This window comes from Homo sapiens, chromosome 17, assembly GCF_000001405.40.
Source record: "Homo sapiens chromosome 17, GRCh38.p14 Primary Assembly".
NCBI lineage: Eukaryota > Metazoa > Chordata > Mammalia > Primates > Hominidae > Homo > Homo sapiens.
This window is the reverse complement of record NC_000017.11, coordinates 36,935,981-36,954,650: the sequence shown is the minus strand read 5'-3', so window position 1 is coordinate 36,954,650 and position 18,670 is coordinate 36,935,981. Positions and strand designations below refer to the sequence as shown.

Genomic DNA, 18,670 nt, shown 5'->3' with positions numbered 1-18,670 from the left:
TCTTCTAGAATTCTTTATAGCTCAGTAATTCTCCTCTAAAATGTGTTTCTCCCTCGGCATATCATCTTTCCTCACTCTATGTCACTCAAAGAAAGATATAAATAAGATCATCTTAGCACATTGTTCTAAAAACCTCTCAAACATAGGAAGCATCTTTTAAACACATGATACAACCAAGTTTAATGAGCTGAATTAGACATTCTTTTTCTCCCTTTCTACATCAGTGGGTTTTCAACCAGTGTCCCCTGAGCTTTAAAGAATTAACTCAGGGCCAGGCTCAGTAGGTCACATCTGTAATCCTAGCACTTTGGGAAGCAAAGGTGGGAGGATTGCTTGAGGCCAGGAGTTTGAGACCAGCCTGGACAACACAGTGAGACCCTGTCTCTACAAAATATCCCTCTCTACAGGCAGGGTGGTGCACGCTTGTGGTCCCTGCTACTCGGAAGGCTAAGGTGGGAGGATCACTGAGGTGGGAGGATTGCTTGAGCCCAGGAGGACGAGGCTGCAGTAACCTGTGATCGCGCCACTGTACTTGAGACTCAGCAACAGAGCGAGACTCTGTCTCAAAAAAAAAAAAAAAAAAAAGCAACTTGGAAAGCCAAGGGGGATGGGGAGGGGAGAGCAAGGGCAGATGAGAAGAAAGCACAATAAACATGGCTCAAGCTCCCAGTCCACTTCAATCAAAGCTGTCTTCATTTGACAAAGTGGTTCTAAGTATTCCAACAGGACATAAGTATTCTTACTATTTTTCAGGGCACTGGAAAATTCTGGGCCACCTTTGTCCTTGAACAATGGGAAAACATCTGGTTGAGGAAGCTGGTTGGTGGTCAACAGAGCTTTTTGTAGTTTGATCCTTCCTTCCAAGAGCTGGTCCCACAGTGCTGAAAAGAAGAAAAGAGAATCCCATTCCTCAATAATAAAATATTCTGGGGGTGAGGTGGCAGGGGTGGGGAAGAACAGGAAACCACACCAGTCTCTAAGCACCACAGCTTTAGCAGTTTAATGCCATGGAAACAAATATTCTCTATTAGAGAAAATAAATTCAGTATCCATGAAGCAAGTATTTGCTACAGCAGAGTGGGAATGCTAAAACCCAAGGAGAGGAGAAAACACTCTTCTCTTCAATCTTCCCCAGTTGCAGGAAGTACTAGAGCAGAACCAGCTAAGCAGATCAGTGCAGAAATGGCTGGCTAAGCATACAGGAATAGGGCTTTAGGCTTCTGGGTAAGTGGGGCATGTCACAAACTAATTGAAAGGACACAGGAGATAGAGAATAGCCAAAAACAAACAAATGAAAAGTAGACCAAATGCAGATACTTTGAAAAACAGGCAATCAGCAAAACCATGTACAAACCTATCTGGTTCTTCACGGCTCTTCCTTTCTCCACTTCCTCAGAAACTTTGACACTAGAGAAGGTCATCACCACACCATCATCCTCACTGTTTCTATCTCCAGCCCTGTCTTCCTCACTCTCGCCTTGGGAGTCTTCCGCGTCATCCCCTTCTTCCATGCCACTCTCTTCGTCTTCCTCCTCCTCACTGCTCCCAAGGTCATCCATTCCCTTGGTAAATTTCTCAAAGTCACTGATACTCTGGACACTGAAGCCCGGTGTTTTTGCAGAGTGGCTTCTGCTCTTCTTGCTCTCCCTGTGATCACCACACTCCTGTTCCTCAGCAGCACCCAGGTCGTCCTCATCATATTCCTCCAGACCCAGTCCCTCTGAATCTTCATCTCCAGACCCTTCCTCATCAGATATTTCCTCATCTACAAAGAAGAGAGGGAAGAAAGAGAAAAATGGGTATTACCTGGAGAAAATACCAAGCCATAGACTTCATTTCAACTTAAGCACTGTGGCATCAGGGGGAAAATCTCTTACTGCACTCAATTCAACAATATATTTATTACACATCTACAATCTCCAAAATGCTAAGGGAGAAGCAAAGATGAATAGAACACGGGTCCTACCCTAACAAAAGGAGCTAGTGGGAAAGACAGACTCACAACATTACAACTCAAGGAAGCATCAGAAGTGCTTTGACAAAATTTCAATAACCCAGAAGAGTGAGAAATTTTAACTGTGGGGCAAGTGAATTTAAGCTAATCTCTAAGGAAGAGCTAGCATTTGCTCTGGCCCTTGAAGAACAGTAAGATTTCAACTGGTGTTAGAGAATTACCAGTTTTCCCAAACCTGATCTGAAAAAATGTACAATCTATCACATCCGTCTGCCCTATTTACTAAATACTTATTAAGCACTCATTATGAGCCAGGGGCTAAGGAAAGGCAAATAGAATTTAATACTTGCTGGGAGGAGTTCATGGTCTGGTGGGAGTGGTAGATATGCATGCCAATAATTATATTACAAGGTCATTAGTACACAGTGTATGGAGATGGAACCACCTAACTCTCCTGGAAAGGTGGGGGATGGTATCATGTGGAGAAGGAGACATTATAATTTTACTTATGAAGCATAAGGCAACAGCTCATAGATAATGAAGGGAAAACGCACTGGAGTGCAGGATGCACAAGGAAGTGATGGGAGATGAGACTAATCAGGAAAGGTCTCGTCTTTCATGAGGACTCTGAACTTGATCCTATAGTAGACAGAGTGCTAGTTAAGGCTCTTTGTTTGACTTATGCTTAGAGTATCATCTGATATGTAGAGGTTTTTACAGTTTATCCAATCTGTTCCATGGTAGAACATAAAAGCCCCATGTGTTTCAAGTATGATTCTAAGATAGAGGGACCAGTTTCCAAAAACTTTCTTCAATAAAATAAAGATTTTAGGAAAGCGTGACAGGTCTTCAGCGCTTCTTTAAAAAGGTATATATAAACTTAAGACACAAAGCTGCCAAAAATATAAATACAAAAACTAAGTGCCAAAACAGTAAACAGAAATTATTATTTAAATTCTTTGAATGTACGCCATTTCTCAGATTAAGAAACATTCATACAGAGTTTACTAGAGTGTACATCTTGGAGTCAGACAGCCTACATTTGAATCATGTTTCTTCCACTTACTAACTATATGACCTTGAGCAAACTTATGTAACCAATTTGCCCCTCGATTTCCTTATCTGTAAAATGGGGCTAAGTAGTAATAACTTCCTGCGCAATTGGGAGGATTAAATTAGGTGACACATGTAGTGATAATGGTGATAATTTTTTATAAAAATCTGTCTAATTCCAGGTAATTTTATAATTTTTTTTTTGAGGACTTACTGTGTCCCAGGCTCTTAGAACTTAAATTATAGAGCTAAACTCAGTGCCTGACGCATGGTAAGAACTCAATAAATATTATCATATTTGTCTCATGATTGGTCCCTTTATCAGTCTCTAGGCAAAGAATATGAAATGAGCTTATCAGGAGCTCCCAGAACTACATCAAGGACTAAATCATAGATATCATAACCTAAATGATAGTTCCTTTTATATTATCTGTGGATTCTCAACATGACACCCCTGACCTTTCTAAAGGAAAACAAATGACATTCTCCCAATAATCACCATATCTAGCCCCTTCTTCCACTCTGAGAAATTTACAATTCTTTAAAACTATAAGCGCACAGACTCCTAACTCTTTTGCAGGGAAGAGAAGGATTATGTGATTTTTTAGAATGGCAAAAAATGAGTTTCACAAATAACTAATATCACACAGTGCTTCAATGCAAGTCCTGGAAAACCAAAGGTCAGGGGTCACAATTCAAGGATAACATGTTCATCAGACACAGTGGTTTTTCAGCTCATAACCCTCTCCAGTAGCCAAAATGCACTGCCTTCTCTGTCACTCCACTGTAGGGTGAGCCATTAGTCCGAACATAAGGAGTATAGCAACTTAATCACTCTGGGCTTTAGATTCCTTATGAAGTGAAATGAAGTAACCTCTAAGACCCTTTCTAATACCAAATCAATGGTCTCTCCTAAGATAACAGATAGGGGTGCCTGACCAACATGGACAAACCCCGTCTCTACTAAAAATACAAAATTAGCCGGGCGTGGTGGTGCATGCCTGTAATCCCAGCTACTCGGGAGGCTGAGGCAGGAGCCTCGCTTGAACTCCAGAGGTGGAGGTTGCGGTGAGCCGAGATGGCGCCATCACACTCCAGCCTGGGCAACAAGAGCCAAACTCTGTCTCAAAAAAAAGATCCGCAGACTACTCTTGCAAAGATCATGGGGGATGACCGGAGGATTTTAACCCTGAAAAAATTAGGGAAGAGAAGAGTTCCATTCAAAAATGTCTACTCACCAGACGATCCTGGCAGAGTCTGCTCCCAATGGTCTTCATTCCATGCTTTTCTAGAGGTGGTTTTGCCGCAATACCTTTTGTCCGTGTCCAAGAGGGAGGCTGATGCCAGTTTTCTAATGCTACCCACTACTAGGAAATCACCTTCCCCATCTTCCCCTTCATCAAACCTGTCAATCACCCTGGCAGCAGTGGCTGTCGGGGGAGAGGGAAAAGTAAACAGAATCTCCAGGTTAGCAGAAACTTTAACGGGAACCCTGGTCGACCCATTTATCTCATAGTTGAACGTCCTTTACGAAATCCCCACCAACTTCCAGGAATAGGAAATTCACTCTCTCCCAAAGTAGAACACTGTCTTACTGCTGTTTCTAAACAGAAAGTTGACTCCTGGCATCTACTAGTGGGATCTATTTCTATGACTTGGATCCTATCAAACTAGTTGAATTCCTCTTCAATGTGTGACAGTCGCTCCAATATCTTAAATCAGTCATCACGTTCTCCCCTCACTCTGTCCCATTCTTTGGGGAGTTTTCTTTGCTTATTCTGGCTAAACAGTCCCGAGTTTCTTCAACTGATCTTCCTAAGATACGGTTCAGCACTCGCATTTATCCCTCCTTATTATCCCTTTCTCACACTTCCGACTCAAGTCTAAAGCGGGATTACTCCCAGCTAGACTCTGAACATCAGCTTACAGAACAGGAGTCTCAGTCGTCAGCCACTGAACAAGTGTCTTGAGACTTCAAGAGACTTAAACAGCACCAGAAAATCCTTCCATCAGTCTCCAACTTAGTTTTGAAGGGCAACCTGAATTAAAAACATGCGACTTTCTTCTCCTCCTTTCTAACGCAATACCAGAAAGGGCATCCTCAAAGCTAACTTCCAACTTGCTAGCAGACTCTCTGGCTCCCTCCAACAGGCCTGGAGCAAGTAAACCTGAAGACCAGCTCCTCTCGGCCTGAGCCCTCGATCTGTTCCGCCCATCCAGCCGAGCACCAAGTTTCGAGTGCGTGTGAAAAGAAGCCGAAGCCCTCCTCCCGAGGCCGGGACCACCCTCGCGGGAGGCGACGTTCCTCTGCGCCAAGCGAAGGAGCGCAGGCCCGGCGGCCTCGCGCACGCCCCTCCCACGCCGCCCCCTTGCCCCACAGGGCCTGGCCCACCGCTCCGCACGTGGCCTGCCCCAGTCCGGCCTCACCTTCCTCGGGGTCCGCTTCAGGGTCCGCCTCGCTTGGTCGCGGGTTCAACAACTGTTCCAGTTGCAGCGCCAGGGGCTGCGGCCCCGCCATCGTCACCAGCTCCCGGTCCACTCCGCTTCGCGCACGTAAATGTGCGGCCCAACCCCCGGCCCCGAAGCTCCTTCCCTGCCGGATCCTCTCGCCTTGATCCGATTCCCCGACTCCGCCAGAGACCGCGCGGAGGCCACCCCACAGCTCTGGACCGGCCACTTCCGGGAGGCGCGCGGGAGGGGGCGGGGCCTGCGCGTCACTGCGGGCGTTGCTAGCATGAAGGCGGAAGCGCGCAGAAGGTTGAAGGGATTGGAGCCGTATGGGCGCGTGTGCGCGTGCGCGTGCGAGTGCGCGGGAAGGGGCGGTGCGGAAGCGCGCCAAGGCACGTGACCGCTTCTGTCGCTGAGATGCGATTGCGATGCGCGCGGCCAGTGTCCCCTTGTACAAAATATGCCTCGAGATTTGTGCGAGATTCGCTTAGGAATAAAGCATAGCGTAGCCGTGGCCCACGGTGGCTGATTTGGGAAGGAGGAGGGAGTAGGGCTTAAGCTGCTCGAATCGCGGGTGCGCACTCGGGCACGCAGAGACTGGGACCCAAAGCAGGTTTGTCATTTCGCAATTTATAGTAGTCTGAGGCCGGGCACACGCCTCCCGCCCTTCAGCGGCCAGGATTTGGGAATCCTATGTCAGGGATATGCACGTGTAAGTGTGTGGCGGACTGCTGGCGTCTTTCTTAATGGGAATACTTAGGAATCGCTGTGGCTAAAGATAGTTTCAGTAGCGTCTCTAAGTACCCTTGCCTGAGCAAGGGAAAGGGGGTGGGGTGTGGATTACTCCACTGCATACCCCTCGGTATTGATTATCTTTGCTGTTCAGAGATGAGGGCATGCTCAGGCAGCTTAAGCAGGTGCACAAATGCAGAAAAATACAGGTCTACCGTTAGAGGGACAGACTCAAAATATAAAGACTTAATAGTATAAATGTAATTGCACCCCGCACACGGAAAGACACAATCGCTTTACATCCTCTTTCCTTCATCAAGCATTCCCTGACTGCCCACTATGTGGCAGGCACTGCTAGATAAGATACAAGATAAGTAAGTTGGATTCTCCCCCCCACGGTAATCAGCCTAGGAGGGTAGACAAACATGTAAACAGAAACTGCAATAAGGGATGATAAGTGTGACTACAAAGTGGTCTATTCTTATGGTATCTGTTGGAGGTTGCCTGTAGAGACCTAGACCCCTCTAAACAGAATCTGCCTCAAAAGGATCCAGAAAAGAGATGTTAGTGGTGCACTGTGGCAGTGCCCCTTGGGTACAGCCCGGGCCAGTTGGATCCCACAGCTGAACAACTGGGGAACCCTCAGCTCTCTACTGTCTCCCATGAAAACCAAGGGAAGAGAGGATCTCTGACTTTCACAATCTTCATATGTCCTCAGGGCCAAGAGCAATAAGAGGACACCACTTTAGTGGAGCCTGTTCCATGTCCCTGTAAAGTGGCCCTTGAAGAATGAAGACAACCAGGGCTGCAGAGGGGAAGGAGAACCTGTCTGAGGGTAAACCCCCTCAGACATGGAAGGAAAAGAATGCCAGGCTAGGCAGGGCACTCAGGAGAAGAAAACGGCTTTTTACCATCCATAAGAGAGCTTAGCCTAAGAGAACAGTTTTTCGTTTATCCTCTATAATTGCAGTCTTGTGCCTGTGTCCGGGCCTCCCAAGCAAAAGTGTGTTCCTTGCTCCTTGACAAGGTGCCATGGGGCTTCAAAGGACAAAAATGTTTCTCCCACCCCACATTTAAGAAACTACCTCCTGCAATCCTATCCCCTTGCTATGTTGGGTACTTACAATGCTTAGAAACCTGGCCTTTGAGGTAAAGAGAAGGAAGAAAAGAGAAAGGGAGGTGAGTCACTGCAGAGACCACCTCTAAGCTGTCATGCAAACAGGACACTGCTGGTCAATTTGGGGGCTGTGCTGGGCAAACACTCAGCAGAAAATGCCATAGACCTGTTTACTTACTCTCCCTTCTCTGTCCTGGTCCCTACTGACTTGGGAAGCCATTTTAGCAAGGAATCAAGACCGTTCTACTGTCACACACATCCCAGGGCCCCCCAAAATGTTTGCCTGACCTTATACTGAAGGTAGAAAGAGGACTCCAGGAGTGGAGGGAAGAGGAAGTAATTCTAGGAATTAAGATGCAACTGAGAGTAGTTGAGGCAAGGGACAGGGGAGCAAATTCTCAAATACTCCCTCTGGGGGCCTCTCCCTACCTGCATTCCAGTGTCTTGAGATGGTGGGGGAAGGGCTTATTGATGGGGTAGGGATGGAGATGGAGAGTGGACTGTGGCGAGGAGTTTCAACCTCTGACTGATGTAGAGATGAGAGCAGATGAGAGGAACAGGGAGAGGAGAATAAGGGTGAGCAGTTCCCTAACAGAATGGCCTTCTCCAGAGAAGGCGGAGGGGCGCCCAGTCCACAATCCCTCTCCCTGCCCTCCAAGGGCTGCAAAGTGGCAGGCGATTAGGCACAGCAGAGGATGGGCAAGGGGTGACACTTTCCAATTGTCCCAAACAACTGTCTGCTCACTTGACAAGGAGTTTCAAGAGTTTGGGAAAACCAAGTTCCCACTTGCCTCTCTTCAGATGCTGTCCACCCTCAGGTGCCAGCCCTGGCAATGCCTATCCTGGCTCTCCACAGGTAATACTTCCCCAAGTGCCTCACCTAGAGCAGCTTACCAGCGGCAGCCAGCCCGGAGAAGTTGGGTGGGTGAGCTTCAGCTCCCTCGCCAGAGCAGATGGTGGCTCCCTGCTGCTGGAACCCTGAAGGCAGGTGGCGAGAGGCACAGAGGTGGTGGCTTTAAGATGGCCACAGGGAGAAACCAGGCTGCCCTCCCAGGCGAGAGGGGACTGCAGTGGCGCTTCCCTCCTGCTGCGCCTCCTGCGGGAGCTCCGCCTAGGTATGGTGCCGCACGTCCCCGCACCTCGGGGCCAGAGGTGGGCGGCACAGCACTGATGGGAAGGAGAACAGGCCCTGACATTTCCAGGCCTCCTCCTTGGGGCCTTCGGCTCCAAATTTGACTGCTGAGCGTTGCCACCTGTTCGGGTTTTCGCCAGGATTCTGAATCCCGCGACGAGGGGAGAGACTGCGCCACAACCACGTTGTTAGAAGAATCGAATCCACATCGTGTGCCCAACTCGAAAACGCTTCTTATCAAATACCCCGATTGCACAATAAAGCTGCTAAATAATTCAGCAGCCTTGATAGGAAAATGCAGCTTCCCAGTGAGCGCAGTTCATTTAAATGAATGTCTTTAAAGGGGGCTAGGGAGTAGAGGCTATAATGAATAAGTTAGCTAGGATTTAATGTGTATAAATGCTAAAAAGGTAAAAACAAGCCGATCCAGTGATTGCATATAAAGCAAATAAAGAAATGTGCTGCATGCAGAGGCTGGGAGTTTCAAAAGTCTCCTCTGTATTTCATACATTTTTATTTCTGAAAGAACACTGCCAGATTCCTCCCGGATAGCCTCCTCCCCCATTAGATAAGCCATCATATGGATGCAGTGAAATATTGCTTATTTTAAAGCCTTCTCTGCAGGAAAGATAAACTTGGCTGTGTCTTAACAAAATTTGAAAACAGCACTGGAAATTATATACCATTTAATGTCAAACCTTTGACTTTTTAAATAAGGAAATAAATAATCCAGAGTGAAATCTAGGTGATATGGAAAAGAAATCCTGGAACTCTAATAGCATCTGATACTGAAACACACACACATCCACAAGAATATTTCATAGTAGATAAAATATTCAAATTTCTTCCAAGTCTAATGAAGGACTGGAAAGAATCGAGCTACTTTTAGAACCTTTTGAGTTGAAATTTGATTTTGATATTAGTTATTTTTGTTCATCTTTCAGAGAAACTTAATATGTATCTTGTGCCAGGCAAAATAGTTTTCCTTCTGGGGAACTTCAAAGGTAACAAATACTATAAAACAACAATTTCATATCAGTTCTGTGAAAGGGATTAAAGTATTTCATTTCTAGCTGTACTATACATTCATTTTACATTATCTTTCAAACCACCAAATTAGAAAGCCTTTACATTATCTTTCAAACTACCAAATTAGAAAGCCGGATTATCTATAGGAAATGAAATGAAACTGAAAAGGACCACCTCTAACTATGTATTACAAGTATCTGATACAAGCCCAGTTTTGCATGTGCAGGGAGAGTGAAAGAGGGAATGCCTTGGATCTTATGCCTAATCACAGACCTGGACCACTCATTTTTTAGCCATGGATTTGATTTCTATTTCAAATTCTATATTAACTTATCAGCAAACATCTCTTCAACGGTATCAGTTAAATCCACAGGATGTAAATCTGTAGCTAATAACAGCAGGAAGCCACAGAGAAAAGCTTGGCTGGCATTAGCAAAAGGTTTCAGCCATAGCCAAGGCAAAAACAGATATATCATCCCAATCCTGCCTCTCTTTTCCACCTGGCTTCTGAGGACCCATTCAGCTCCCCATCAGGGTTCCCCTTTGAAAACATCAAATAACACACCAATTATCTAAACATCAGATTTTCTATTTTTATTAAAAACTCACAAATTTATTCAACATGTTTTCTTTCATACAGTGAATGGTCTAATATGCACTGGAGGTCACACAAGCTTAGGTTTATTAGAACAATAAAAGACATATGAGAAATTTAATATATAAAGAAAAAGTAGCAGCTGTTGACTGCATATTTGACCATAAAATTTAAATATTTTGGACTTTTATTTTAAAGACACAAAAATAAAACCTGTGTGGGTCTATATAAGTCATATTAACAATTCCATGAATGTTCAACAGGACAAAAAAATTAGCAAAGATGTTTTTTTTTAAATCTTGTAACACTTTTTTTTTTTTTTTTTTAACACTTTCTCAGGTTGCTGGTGCCAGGCACCTTTACAGTATTTGTGCTATAATTATTCTATTTGGCAACTGTCTGAATAGCATGTTTTCTCTTTGCCTCGTGTAAACAACACCTTTTTACATACTAGCACAGTGAGCCGAAAGCCCTGCAAATCTGTCAGAACATCTACAGGAAAAGAAAAGGAACAATTTTGGTTGATTGCTCAAAACATTTTGTTTTCGAACAAGAGGTTTCAAAACAGGATATATTAGTAAAACACTGAACTCCTGAATTTAACATTATACGTAAACAGTTGACTGTTTTTAGTTCAATAGTCTTTTTTTTTTTTTTTAACTTTTTGTGTGTGAAGGTAGAATACTTTTCTTGTACAGCTGATGTTCAAGTCATTTTACTGAGCGGTCTGGCTGGAGACCATCTTACCGAGTGTGTCCGTGTACGTGTGTATGTGTGTATGTGTAGTTTTGCGAAGGTAGAAGAGTTGATACGGAGGGCTTTACATTTAGAATTTTGCAATTTTGGCAAAAACAAAAACCAAAAATCCAGATAGACAAAAAATATATATATAGTCCCACCTGATGCACGGCAGGTCGGCGTTTCTGAAGCTATAAGAGTTTTTTGTCGCTGTTGTTGAACTCTGAGACAACACTAATAAGGGATATCCCAGAGCTAGAACCCTCCTGGCTGGCCCGGGAGCGCCCTGGGCCGCTTCACTTCCTTCACCCGGCTGTGCTCACGGCCTCCCTCCCCACGGCTCCTGGCATCGCCAACGGCTGTGCGCACCCGCGGCTGCCCTGGACGTCTTTTCGCCGCCCGCCTGCCAGGCGCACACGCCCGCGGGGTCTGTCTACGGATCCGGGTCCAGGTGGGAGTTGGGGAGAGGTCTGCGTTTCCTTTGGGGAGCCCCAGTTCTGCACGTCGACAGCCAGTGCGCGGATCCCAGTCCCACCTCGAGGCCGATTTGGATCCTATTTCGTGTCCCCCTTTTCCATCCGGTCTCCCCAGAAGGAGAATGGTTCTCGAGGCTGGAGGAAGGGGGTGGGGACTTGCTTTTTATGTTTTTTTTTTTCTATTTTTCTTAAATAAAGGTTCATTTCTGTACAACCACGAACTCCGCAGACCGTGCGAGACCCCGCTACCACACGGCCGCCTCGTTCATTTCGGGGGGGTGGGACAGGTGGTTTCCGTAGCTCGCCCCACCGTTGACCGACAGCGACGAGAAGGGCGGGCTGGGTCCGAAGACCTCGGCCGACATGGAGTGCAGAGGCCCGGGCAGGCTGGGCTCGGGGCTGGGCGAGTCCCCGGGTGGGTGCGCCAGGATGTCGGTAAACCGCTGCGCCTCGCTCGACGGGTGGTGGCCCGGCAGCGGGTGCTCCAGGCCACCCAGGGGCGTCCCGGACGGCCCAGATGACGGCACGAAGGGTAGGTCCACTGGTGTCTGGGCCTGCGAGGACGGGGGGCCTTGCGGGAAGAAGTCGTAGTTGCCCCCGGGCCCGTAGTACTCGCTCTGGTAATCTGCGGAGCGGCGGGGAGGGCGCAGGACGTCAGGGCCCGGCCGGGGGCCGGCGGGACCGAAAGGGAGGGAAGACGCGACCTCGGCGGGCTGAGGAAGGCCGCGCGGGGAACTCGCGGATCGCGGGGAGCCCTCGCGGGCCTGGGTGCAGGGAGGAGGCTGGGCGCAAGCCCGGGAGCTGCCCCTTACCAGCTACCCCCGTTATTCAGGGCCGTGAATTGGGTCCTCGGTCTCGCCGCCTCCCCTTGATTTACTCCCAGCCTTCTCCCTACTCGCCCCAACTCTCCAGTGGCTTACAGAGAGCGAGGCGTGCCCCCCCGCGCTGCCACCCGCTTCCAACGAAGCCCGCCCCGACCTGGCCGCGCCCCGCCATTCGGCGCGCACCCACCTCCGTAGAAGGAGAAGGGACCATTGGGGATGAGCTCGCCCGGCTCCAGGCGGTCCACCAGCGGCCGCATCCGGCGCGGACTGCGGAAGAAGGCGTGGCGCCGGGCGCCCAGGGCGCTCAGCTGCTTCATCCTCCGCTCCTTGGAGCGCCGGTTCTGGAACCAGACCTGCAGCACATGGCGGCGGGGTGAGGCCACCGAGACTCCACCCCCGACCCCGGGGTGCTCCGGGCCTAGCCAGCACCCCTTCACCGCCTGGCTAGCCGACACCGCGCGCGCGCGCTTGTGTGTGTGTGTAGGGTAGTGGTGACGGTGCGATCTCTGACTAGGACCACTCAGGGCGGACCCTGAGCCAATGGTGAGCAGGAATCCCACAGGAGGACCTGGACAGGCCGCCGTGTCTGGAGGGGGAGAGTTGTGGTATAGCTGGAGTTTTTCTAACAGTCACACTATCACAGTTACCGCTTCTCTGGGGCTGTACACACATAGAGACTACGCCTCTCCAAAATAATGTCAGACACACACCGCGTTTCCATTTCACGGTCTCTTGCAGCAACCCTCCCCCCAACCATGACAGAGACACAGAAACAGCCTATGATACCAAAACCTACAATCTCCTTTTCACACCCATGTACAATCTCACAGTGCCAAACATACTTATCCACAGCCTCTTGCCAATAGTGACACAGACACACGACTTCTCATTCATGTACACAGGTTCTCACAGTCTCCTGTAGGCCTCAGGGCCTTCCGTGTTGCACACATGTGCACATGCACAGCCAGCCTCCCAGGCAGGTACATCCACCCACAGCCACGCAGGGCATCAGGCCCGGTGAACCGGACACCTAGCACTGAGCCAGAGACTCCCCCTGGCCTGGAGCTTCAGCAGTCTCACCTCCTTTCCGCCCACAGGCCCAGCTGCCTCCAGGTAGGCTCCCATACCCAAATTTCACTCCAACCCGCTGGAAGCAGAGCTGACTCCCGGCGGAACCACCTCTCTTTGGAGGGGAAGTCCCTGATCTGGGGCTTGTCTAATTGGAGCAAGCGATCACAAAGTTGGAGTTGCAGACTTAGGAAGAGTTCACTTTGTGCAGAAGGCAGAGGGACTGATTGACTCTGGGGGACACTGAGACTTCTCTGACCCTTCCGAACCCGAGGTGGGGTGGGGTATGTGCAGAAAGAGGGCTCCCCACTCTCTCCAGAGTGTTCAACAGTTCTCCTCCTCCAGCCTCTGGCTGAACTCCCGTCCCTCCCCCTCCACTGCCACGATCACCTCTGTTGGGCTGGGAAGAGGACTTTCTAGATGCTCGAAGGCATCAGGCATTTCATAGGTCCCGCAGGCTCGGGATGTGTCTAGGCACCCCACCTCTGGACTCCATCTCTCACTTCTCTCTGGATTCTGGGCTCTCCTGGCTCGGCCTGGGTGCCCAAAGTGGCAGTGTGGGCCTCTGTGGGATGGAGAGGCGCGCCGGGGCCTGACCTGAATGACGCGCATGTTGAGGCCGGTCTCCTGCGCCAGCTGCTCGCGGATGTGGCGGGTGGGCTTGGGTGTAGCAGCGAAGGCGGCCTTCAGCGTCTCCAGCTGCTTGGCTTTGATGGTGGTGCGCGGTCCCCGCCGCTTGGCGCCCAGGTTCTGGTCGTCATTCTCGTTGCTACCCGCTTCCTTGTCCGACACGTTGGCGCTCTCCGAGTCCTTGGCGTCGTCCTGCGACGGGTCTTGGGAATCCGGAGACAAACTGGGGTCACTGCCCGTGGTGGCTAAGAGGGAAAGGACAGATGAGCCGGGGCCTTGGCGAGCCTTCCTCCCCCAGGACCCGCTTGCACCTAGCCAGCCAGGAATTGGGGCCTCACCCGAGTGAAGGCTGTTCTCTTTGGCAACACTGCTGTTACTTAGGTAATCCTCTTTGCAGACGAACTTATTCTCGTCGATGATGTAGAGTTCCTCGCCAGTGGAGAGCTGCTTGTTACACATCATGCAGGTGAAGCAGTTCAGGTGAAACACTTTGCTCCGCGCTCTCCGCACCAGGTCGCTAGGGGAGATGCCCTGAGCGCAGCCTGCGCATTTGGTACCGAAACACCTGCGGGGGGGTGGGGGTGGGGGGCGGGGGCGGGGATGGGTCAGCCAGGGGCAAGGGGAGACAGGCGGAGAGAAAGATGACAGCGAGAAAGAGGGAAGATGTAAAAAGTGGAGGAAGTAGGAGAGGAGGAATGGAGCACAGAAAGAAGGGAAGAGAGAGATAAAGAGAGGCAGAATTCCGGTTAAGCAGGTGAGGAGGCAGCAGGAGAGAGAGCGCGGCACCAGGGAAGAGTTAGGGAGGGGATACACGCGGTTAGAGCCAGGGGCCCAAGCTACCCGCCAAGCCCCAGCCTCACTCCCAGCGTTATCCCAGAGGAAAGATGCATCGTCTAAAGAAGGTGGCAAGGCAGTGACCTGTGTGGGCGGGGGGAACGGGGCACTTATTTTCCGATTAGATTCAGAAAAGTCGAATTACAATTAGAACTCTATATAAACGTGCGCGGAGCGCCGCTTTTCTCTCCTTCATCGCAAAAGGACCCGCACATAGGCATGGGGTTGGCGATGTCTAGCCCCGCTGTTGGTAAACAAACATAGCCGCGGAGAGCCCCCCTCCGTAGCCTTAGCGGGGCCGCCGCCACGCTCTTGCCTAAAGCGGGACAGGTTGGCAAAAGCGGGAGCTGCGGGAGCTGGCTCTGGGCGCTCTGCCGCGGGTTGTGGAAGCCAGGCTCAGGGACCCACTGGCAGCGGGTACGAGTACGGTTTGCCACCCTCCCGCTATGATCCAGTCCTTGAGGAAAACCGGGCAGCCCGCGGAGGCTCAGAGGCTCAGCCTGCGCGTTCTCCCGAAATACCAGCGAGCACGGAGCTTTGCTTCATGGTTCCACGCAACCCAACCCCAGCCACGAGTCCTGGAGCGGCACTGGGGACAGCGCGTCTTGGCCCTCTGAGTGGCTTTGAATCCCTCTTCCTCCTGCTCCCTGGTTTGAACTATGACCACAAACTCAGAAAAGCAGAGACCAAGTCAGCCGAGTAAATTGCGATATTTCACATCCGTAGGGTGGAATTACAATTCGCATTTGTGCCCGTTCTTCTCTGTTGACTTGTGTGTTTGTGTGAATGGAGCGGCAAAATTGTGAGTGTACGATAATATAATTAAAATGCTAAACGAATAAGGGGGGTAGGGAGAAGTCTCCCCACCAGCAAGCTGGAGGTCTCGGCTTTCCCCCAGGTTTCATCAAGGAGGTTGCTGGCTGTGGCTGGCAGTTTCCTAGGAGGACTACTGAGCGGAGCCCGTGGGAGTCGGAGTCACCTGGGGCTGAAGCCGAACCACCAGACAACTTCGGCAGCCAGGGAAGCAGGAAAAAGCTCCGGGCACTTCGCAGGCTACAGTGCAGCAGTTTGTCCAGGTCTGCACTCGGAGGCATGTCCGGGTTTGGGGAAGACCCCCGGGCGTGCAGGATCGGCTTTAAGGCCGAGTTCTTTCCTGCCGCTGACAGGGCAGTTGGCCCAGACACTCTACGCAAAAGGCTCGGAGCTTACCGCCAAGACCGCTCGGGGTCGGAAAAGGTAGTGGCCGGGAGGGAGCCTGGGCTCTGCCTGGAGGGCAAACAACCCCGAAGGCCTGGAGAATGCAGTTGCTGCAGAGCTTGGCTCCGGGAAAGACAGCAGTCCGGGCTACAACGCCCGAGGCTGCCCTGTCTCTTCCAAGCTTGAAGGGGCTTCTGGGCCGAGTCAGGCTCAGACCCTTTCTTCCCAGGCACATGCAGCCAAACCCAGACCCATAGTTTCCAGGATGCAAGCAGGGCCGCGTCCCGGGCTCCCAGCGCGCCAGCTGGCGGAGAGGCGGGCGCCCGCGGGACTTGGCTGCCCTCTCTAGAAGCAGTTCCTAACTGGGCAGCGAGGCCACGCTAACCTCTGATCCGAAGCTGGCCGGGAAGGGCCCGCGGGGAGGTAGCAGCAGAGGCGTGGGAGGAAAGTACTCACCGGAAGAAGTCGTTCTTGCAGTAGAGTTTGCCTTCCCTGGAGAAGCACTTCTCGGTCAGGTTGCATTTACATTCACAGCACTGGACGCACTTGACGTGCCAGGCCCTGTCCAGCACGTTCAAGAGAAAGCGGTCCAGGATGGGCCTTTTGCAGCCGGCACAGTGAACCATGGTCTTTGGTTTGGTCTGATGAGGCCCAGAGAGAGAGAGGGGCAAAGTAGAGCCCAGGGGATGACTCCTGAAGACAATCGGCACGAGCTCCCCAGTCTCTCCAAAAAGAGGACACACACTCGGCCGTGCAAGCCAAAACTCGCACCAGGAAATCAAAGTAGGGTGGAGGAAACGAGGCTGATCGGGGCCTGGGGGGGCGTCTCAGTGAAGTGTGCAGCCGGGGAGTCCCGGGGCCCCGGGCTGGAGCGGCGCCGCCTGAGCTCCCGGGGCGAGGAAAAGAAGTCTCAGGCGGGAGAGAATGCGACCCTTCTGCTCAGAGCCCGCGGAGGAGTGAAGGTCAGCGAGAACGGCGGCGGGAACGGAAATAAATAAATAAAAACGGAGAAGAAGAAGACGACGACTCGCCGAGCTCGGGTTGCGAGGAAAGCGCCGCTGAGTTCTCCGGGGCTTGAGGTAGAGCTGTCAGAAGTCAAAGTGCATCTGCTTTTGTCGGGGTATGAGGGCGACTGTGTGCGTGCCAGGCTGCCCACCACTGGGATTTCCCCCCTCTTTTTTTAAAAAAGGGAAGGAAAGAACAAAAGGAGCAGAGAAGCTTTGGATCCTAAACTGCCGGCATCGCGCCGCGGGTCTGGACGCGCCGAGCGCCCGCGCTGGGCCTGGGGGAGGGGGCGAGGGCCGACCGCGGGAGAAGGGAAAGAGGGGAGGGTAGGAGGAAGATCTTGGTGTTGATTGCTGTTGTTGCTTAGGTTTCCCCGCTTTTGGAGAAGTGTTTGTGTCAATCGAAAACAGAGAGGGACAACTCCGTGCGGAGGCAGCCAGGCGCACTCGCTCCTTCCCTACCGCCCCAGCCCAGTCACCTCGGCCCTTGGCCTGCCTGGCGGCCTCCGTGTCCTCAGGGCGACCCTCCCTGCGCCCGGGCTCCTTCGGGAGGCACTACGGGCTGGCTTCTCACCGCGCCTGGCCGTGCATCGTGGCTCCAGTCACAACTCGCGGCCGCCTGGGCGCACAGCCCCGCATCGCTCGGCCCACGCTCTGTCTGCCTCCGTCTAACCCCACAGTCGCTCGACTTTCTCTCCTTTTCCTTTTCCCCTTCTTTTTTTCGTTGTGGTGGCAAATCTGGGTTTCCTTTCTAGCCTCCTTCCTTTTTTTTTTTTTGTTTTTCTTTTGCAGCGGGAGGAGTCGGGGAGGAGGGGGGCAGCTTGGAGAGCTTTAAAAAAAAATGTCCTGGCGCAGCGGCTACAGTAGGCCGGCGGCTGGAACGGCTCGGCGCGGACCGCCGCTGTCGCCGCCCGGGCCGCGGCTCGTTGCTGGCCCTCCCCGGGCGCGTCCCTCAGTCCCTGGTCTCCTGGCCCAGTCGCCGCCCCGGTGCGTCTCTCCCCAGCTCCGGCGGCTTGGTCACTGCTCCTGGCTGTTGGCTGAGCTCTGGAAGCCCCCTCGCCTTAATGCAGCGCCCGCTGACGTCACTGCGGCCTGCGACCAATCAGCGCCTCGCGGTCCCTCTGTAAACCATTCTGCATCCCCCGGCCCGGGAGAGTGCGGGGAGACCGCGTTTAGAGGATCAGTGGCGGCGGCACCCGCGGCCCCGCGCGGCGCGGACGGCGGGCAGCACCGTGCCTGGGCCCCCTCCTGCTCCGGTAAGGCGTGGGTTTCGATGGGAGGGACAGAGAGAGAGCGGGAATAGGCGCAGGCGGAGGCCAGAGTTCTGCTGTAGAGTGGGGGTAGTCCAAGACCGAGCCTTGTGGAAGGTTGGGGTGCAGCCGGGTCCGGAATCCCAGGCGGCTCCCCTGCACTGCTGGGCTTTGCAATTCAGCGGCTGTTGCCATTGTCCCCCCGTACTTTCTTGAGCTGGAAGTTTGTCCCAAGCGCAGCGCACATCTTTGGAGGGGGAGGAGGCTCTTAGCAGCAGAATCTCCCTCCTCCCGTCCCTCTTTCTGTGCCCCCTCCCCCAATCCATCCAAAGTCCACAGGGTCCGGGTCCTGGGCGAGCTGAGTGTCTGTCTCCCGCAGAGCACTCTTGCAAAGTTGATTCGGGCGGTTTCCTGATGGGGGCGGGGAGACCGGAGGCGCGGCGCCGGCGCGGGGGAAGGAGTGGACCGGGAAGCGCCTCGGGTGAGGAGTTGCAACCCTGGCGAGAAAGTTGTGAGAAAACTGTGATCCGGAGACACCTTTTACGTACAAAAACAAACGACTAGGCGGGAAACCGGGGGCTCCAGCGGC

The 18,670-nt window shown here is 51.8% G+C and overlaps 2 protein-coding genes and 1 long non-coding RNA gene across 10 annotated transcripts in view, besides 6 other annotated features; 1 reads left to right on the top strand and 2 right to left on the bottom strand.

Annotated features, from left to right (window-relative positions):
- AATF (apoptosis antagonizing transcription factor) overlaps positions 1–5,697 on the bottom strand; it is a 107,918-nt gene extending 102,221 nt beyond the window's left edge. For all 3 annotated transcript variants that reach the window (NM_012138.4, NM_001411094.1, XM_047435748.1), the window contains exons 1-4: positions 5,435–5,697; positions 4,246–4,437; positions 1,355–1,765; positions 744–881 (exon numbers count right to left, since the gene is read on the bottom strand). In NM_012138.4, coding sequence (NP_036270.1) covers positions 744–881; positions 1,355–1,765; positions 4,246–4,437; positions 5,435–5,525 — 832 coding nt within the window. In that variant the 5' untranslated portion in view covers positions 5,526–5,697. The remainder of the gene's footprint in view (positions 1–743; positions 882–1,354; positions 1,766–4,245; positions 4,438–5,434) is intronic.
- A 4,341-nt stretch (positions 5,698–10,038) lies between these two features.
- Positions 10,039–17,866, bottom strand: LHX1 (LIM homeobox 1). 3 transcript variants are annotated; one of them, XM_047435966.1, is made up of 6 exons: positions 17,311–17,866; positions 16,284–16,912; positions 14,135–14,361; positions 13,764–14,041; positions 12,286–12,451; positions 10,039–11,899 (listed from the first exon to the last, which is right to left on the bottom strand). In XM_047435966.1, the coding sequence occupies exons 2-6, from the start codon at positions 16,451–16,453 to the stop codon at positions 11,520–11,522; spliced, it is 1,221 nt and encodes a 406-aa protein (XP_047291922.1). In that variant the 5' UTR covers positions 16,454–16,912; positions 17,311–17,866; the 3' UTR covers positions 10,039–11,519. The 3 variants fall into 3 exon arrangements, with proteins under 3 accessions (XP_047291922.1, XP_047291923.1, NP_005559.2); XM_047435967.1 differs by having other exon boundaries at positions 17,406–17,866; NM_005568.5 differs by lacking the exon at positions 17,311–17,866 and having other exon boundaries at positions 16,284–17,176.
- Positions 13,280–13,465: a silencer, noted in NCBI's record as "fragment chr17:35298483-35298668 (GRCh37/hg19 assembly coordinates)". NCBI's record gives its function as "represses an EF-1alpha promoter that drives an FKBP-Casp9 reporter gene in an ReSE screen in K562 erythroleukemia cells {active_cell/tissue: K562}" and the evidence as "EXISTENCE:reporter gene assay evidence [ECO:0000049][PMID:32094911]".
- Positions 13,280–13,859: a biological region, named in NCBI's record as "H3K27ac-H3K4me1 hESC enhancer GRCh37_chr17:35298089-35298612".
- Positions 13,336–13,859: an enhancer, noted in NCBI's record as "H3K27ac-H3K4me1 hESC enhancer chr17:35298089-35298612 (GRCh37/hg19 assembly coordinates)". NCBI's record gives its function as "activates a minimal SCP1, AML or CMV promoter by ChIP-STARR-seq in naive H9 embryonic stem cells {active_cell/tissue: H9 hESC(naive)}" and the evidence as "EXISTENCE:reporter gene assay evidence [ECO:0000049][PMID:30033119]".
- Positions 15,342–16,183: an enhancer, noted in NCBI's record as "H3K27ac-H3K4me1 hESC enhancer chr17:35295765-35296606 (GRCh37/hg19 assembly coordinates)". NCBI's record gives its function as "activates a minimal SCP1, AML or CMV promoter by ChIP-STARR-seq in primed H9 embryonic stem cells {active_cell/tissue: H9 hESC(primed)}" and the evidence as "EXISTENCE:reporter gene assay evidence [ECO:0000049][PMID:30033119]".
- Positions 17,026–17,869: an enhancer, noted in NCBI's record as "H3K27ac-H3K4me1 hESC enhancer chr17:35294081-35294922 (GRCh37/hg19 assembly coordinates)". NCBI's record gives its function as "activates a minimal SCP1, AML or CMV promoter by ChIP-STARR-seq in primed H9 embryonic stem cells {active_cell/tissue: H9 hESC(primed)}" and the evidence as "EXISTENCE:reporter gene assay evidence [ECO:0000049][PMID:30033119]".
- Positions 17,990–18,670, top strand: part of LHX1-DT (LHX1 divergent transcript) — a 74,988-nt gene continuing 74,307 nt past the window's right edge. For all 4 annotated transcript variants that reach the window (NR_135671.1, NR_135670.1, NR_135669.1 and 1 more), the window contains exon 1: positions 17,990–18,087. This is a non-coding gene — a long non-coding RNA (LHX1 divergent transcript). The remainder of the gene's footprint in view (positions 18,088–18,670) is intronic.
- Positions 18,128–18,670: part of an enhancer, noted in NCBI's record as "H3K4me1 hESC enhancer chr17:35292909-35293822 (GRCh37/hg19 assembly coordinates)", that runs on past the window's edge. NCBI's record gives its function as "activates a minimal SCP1, AML or CMV promoter by ChIP-STARR-seq in naive H9 embryonic stem cells {active_cell/tissue: H9 hESC(naive)}" and the evidence as "EXISTENCE:reporter gene assay evidence [ECO:0000049][PMID:30033119]".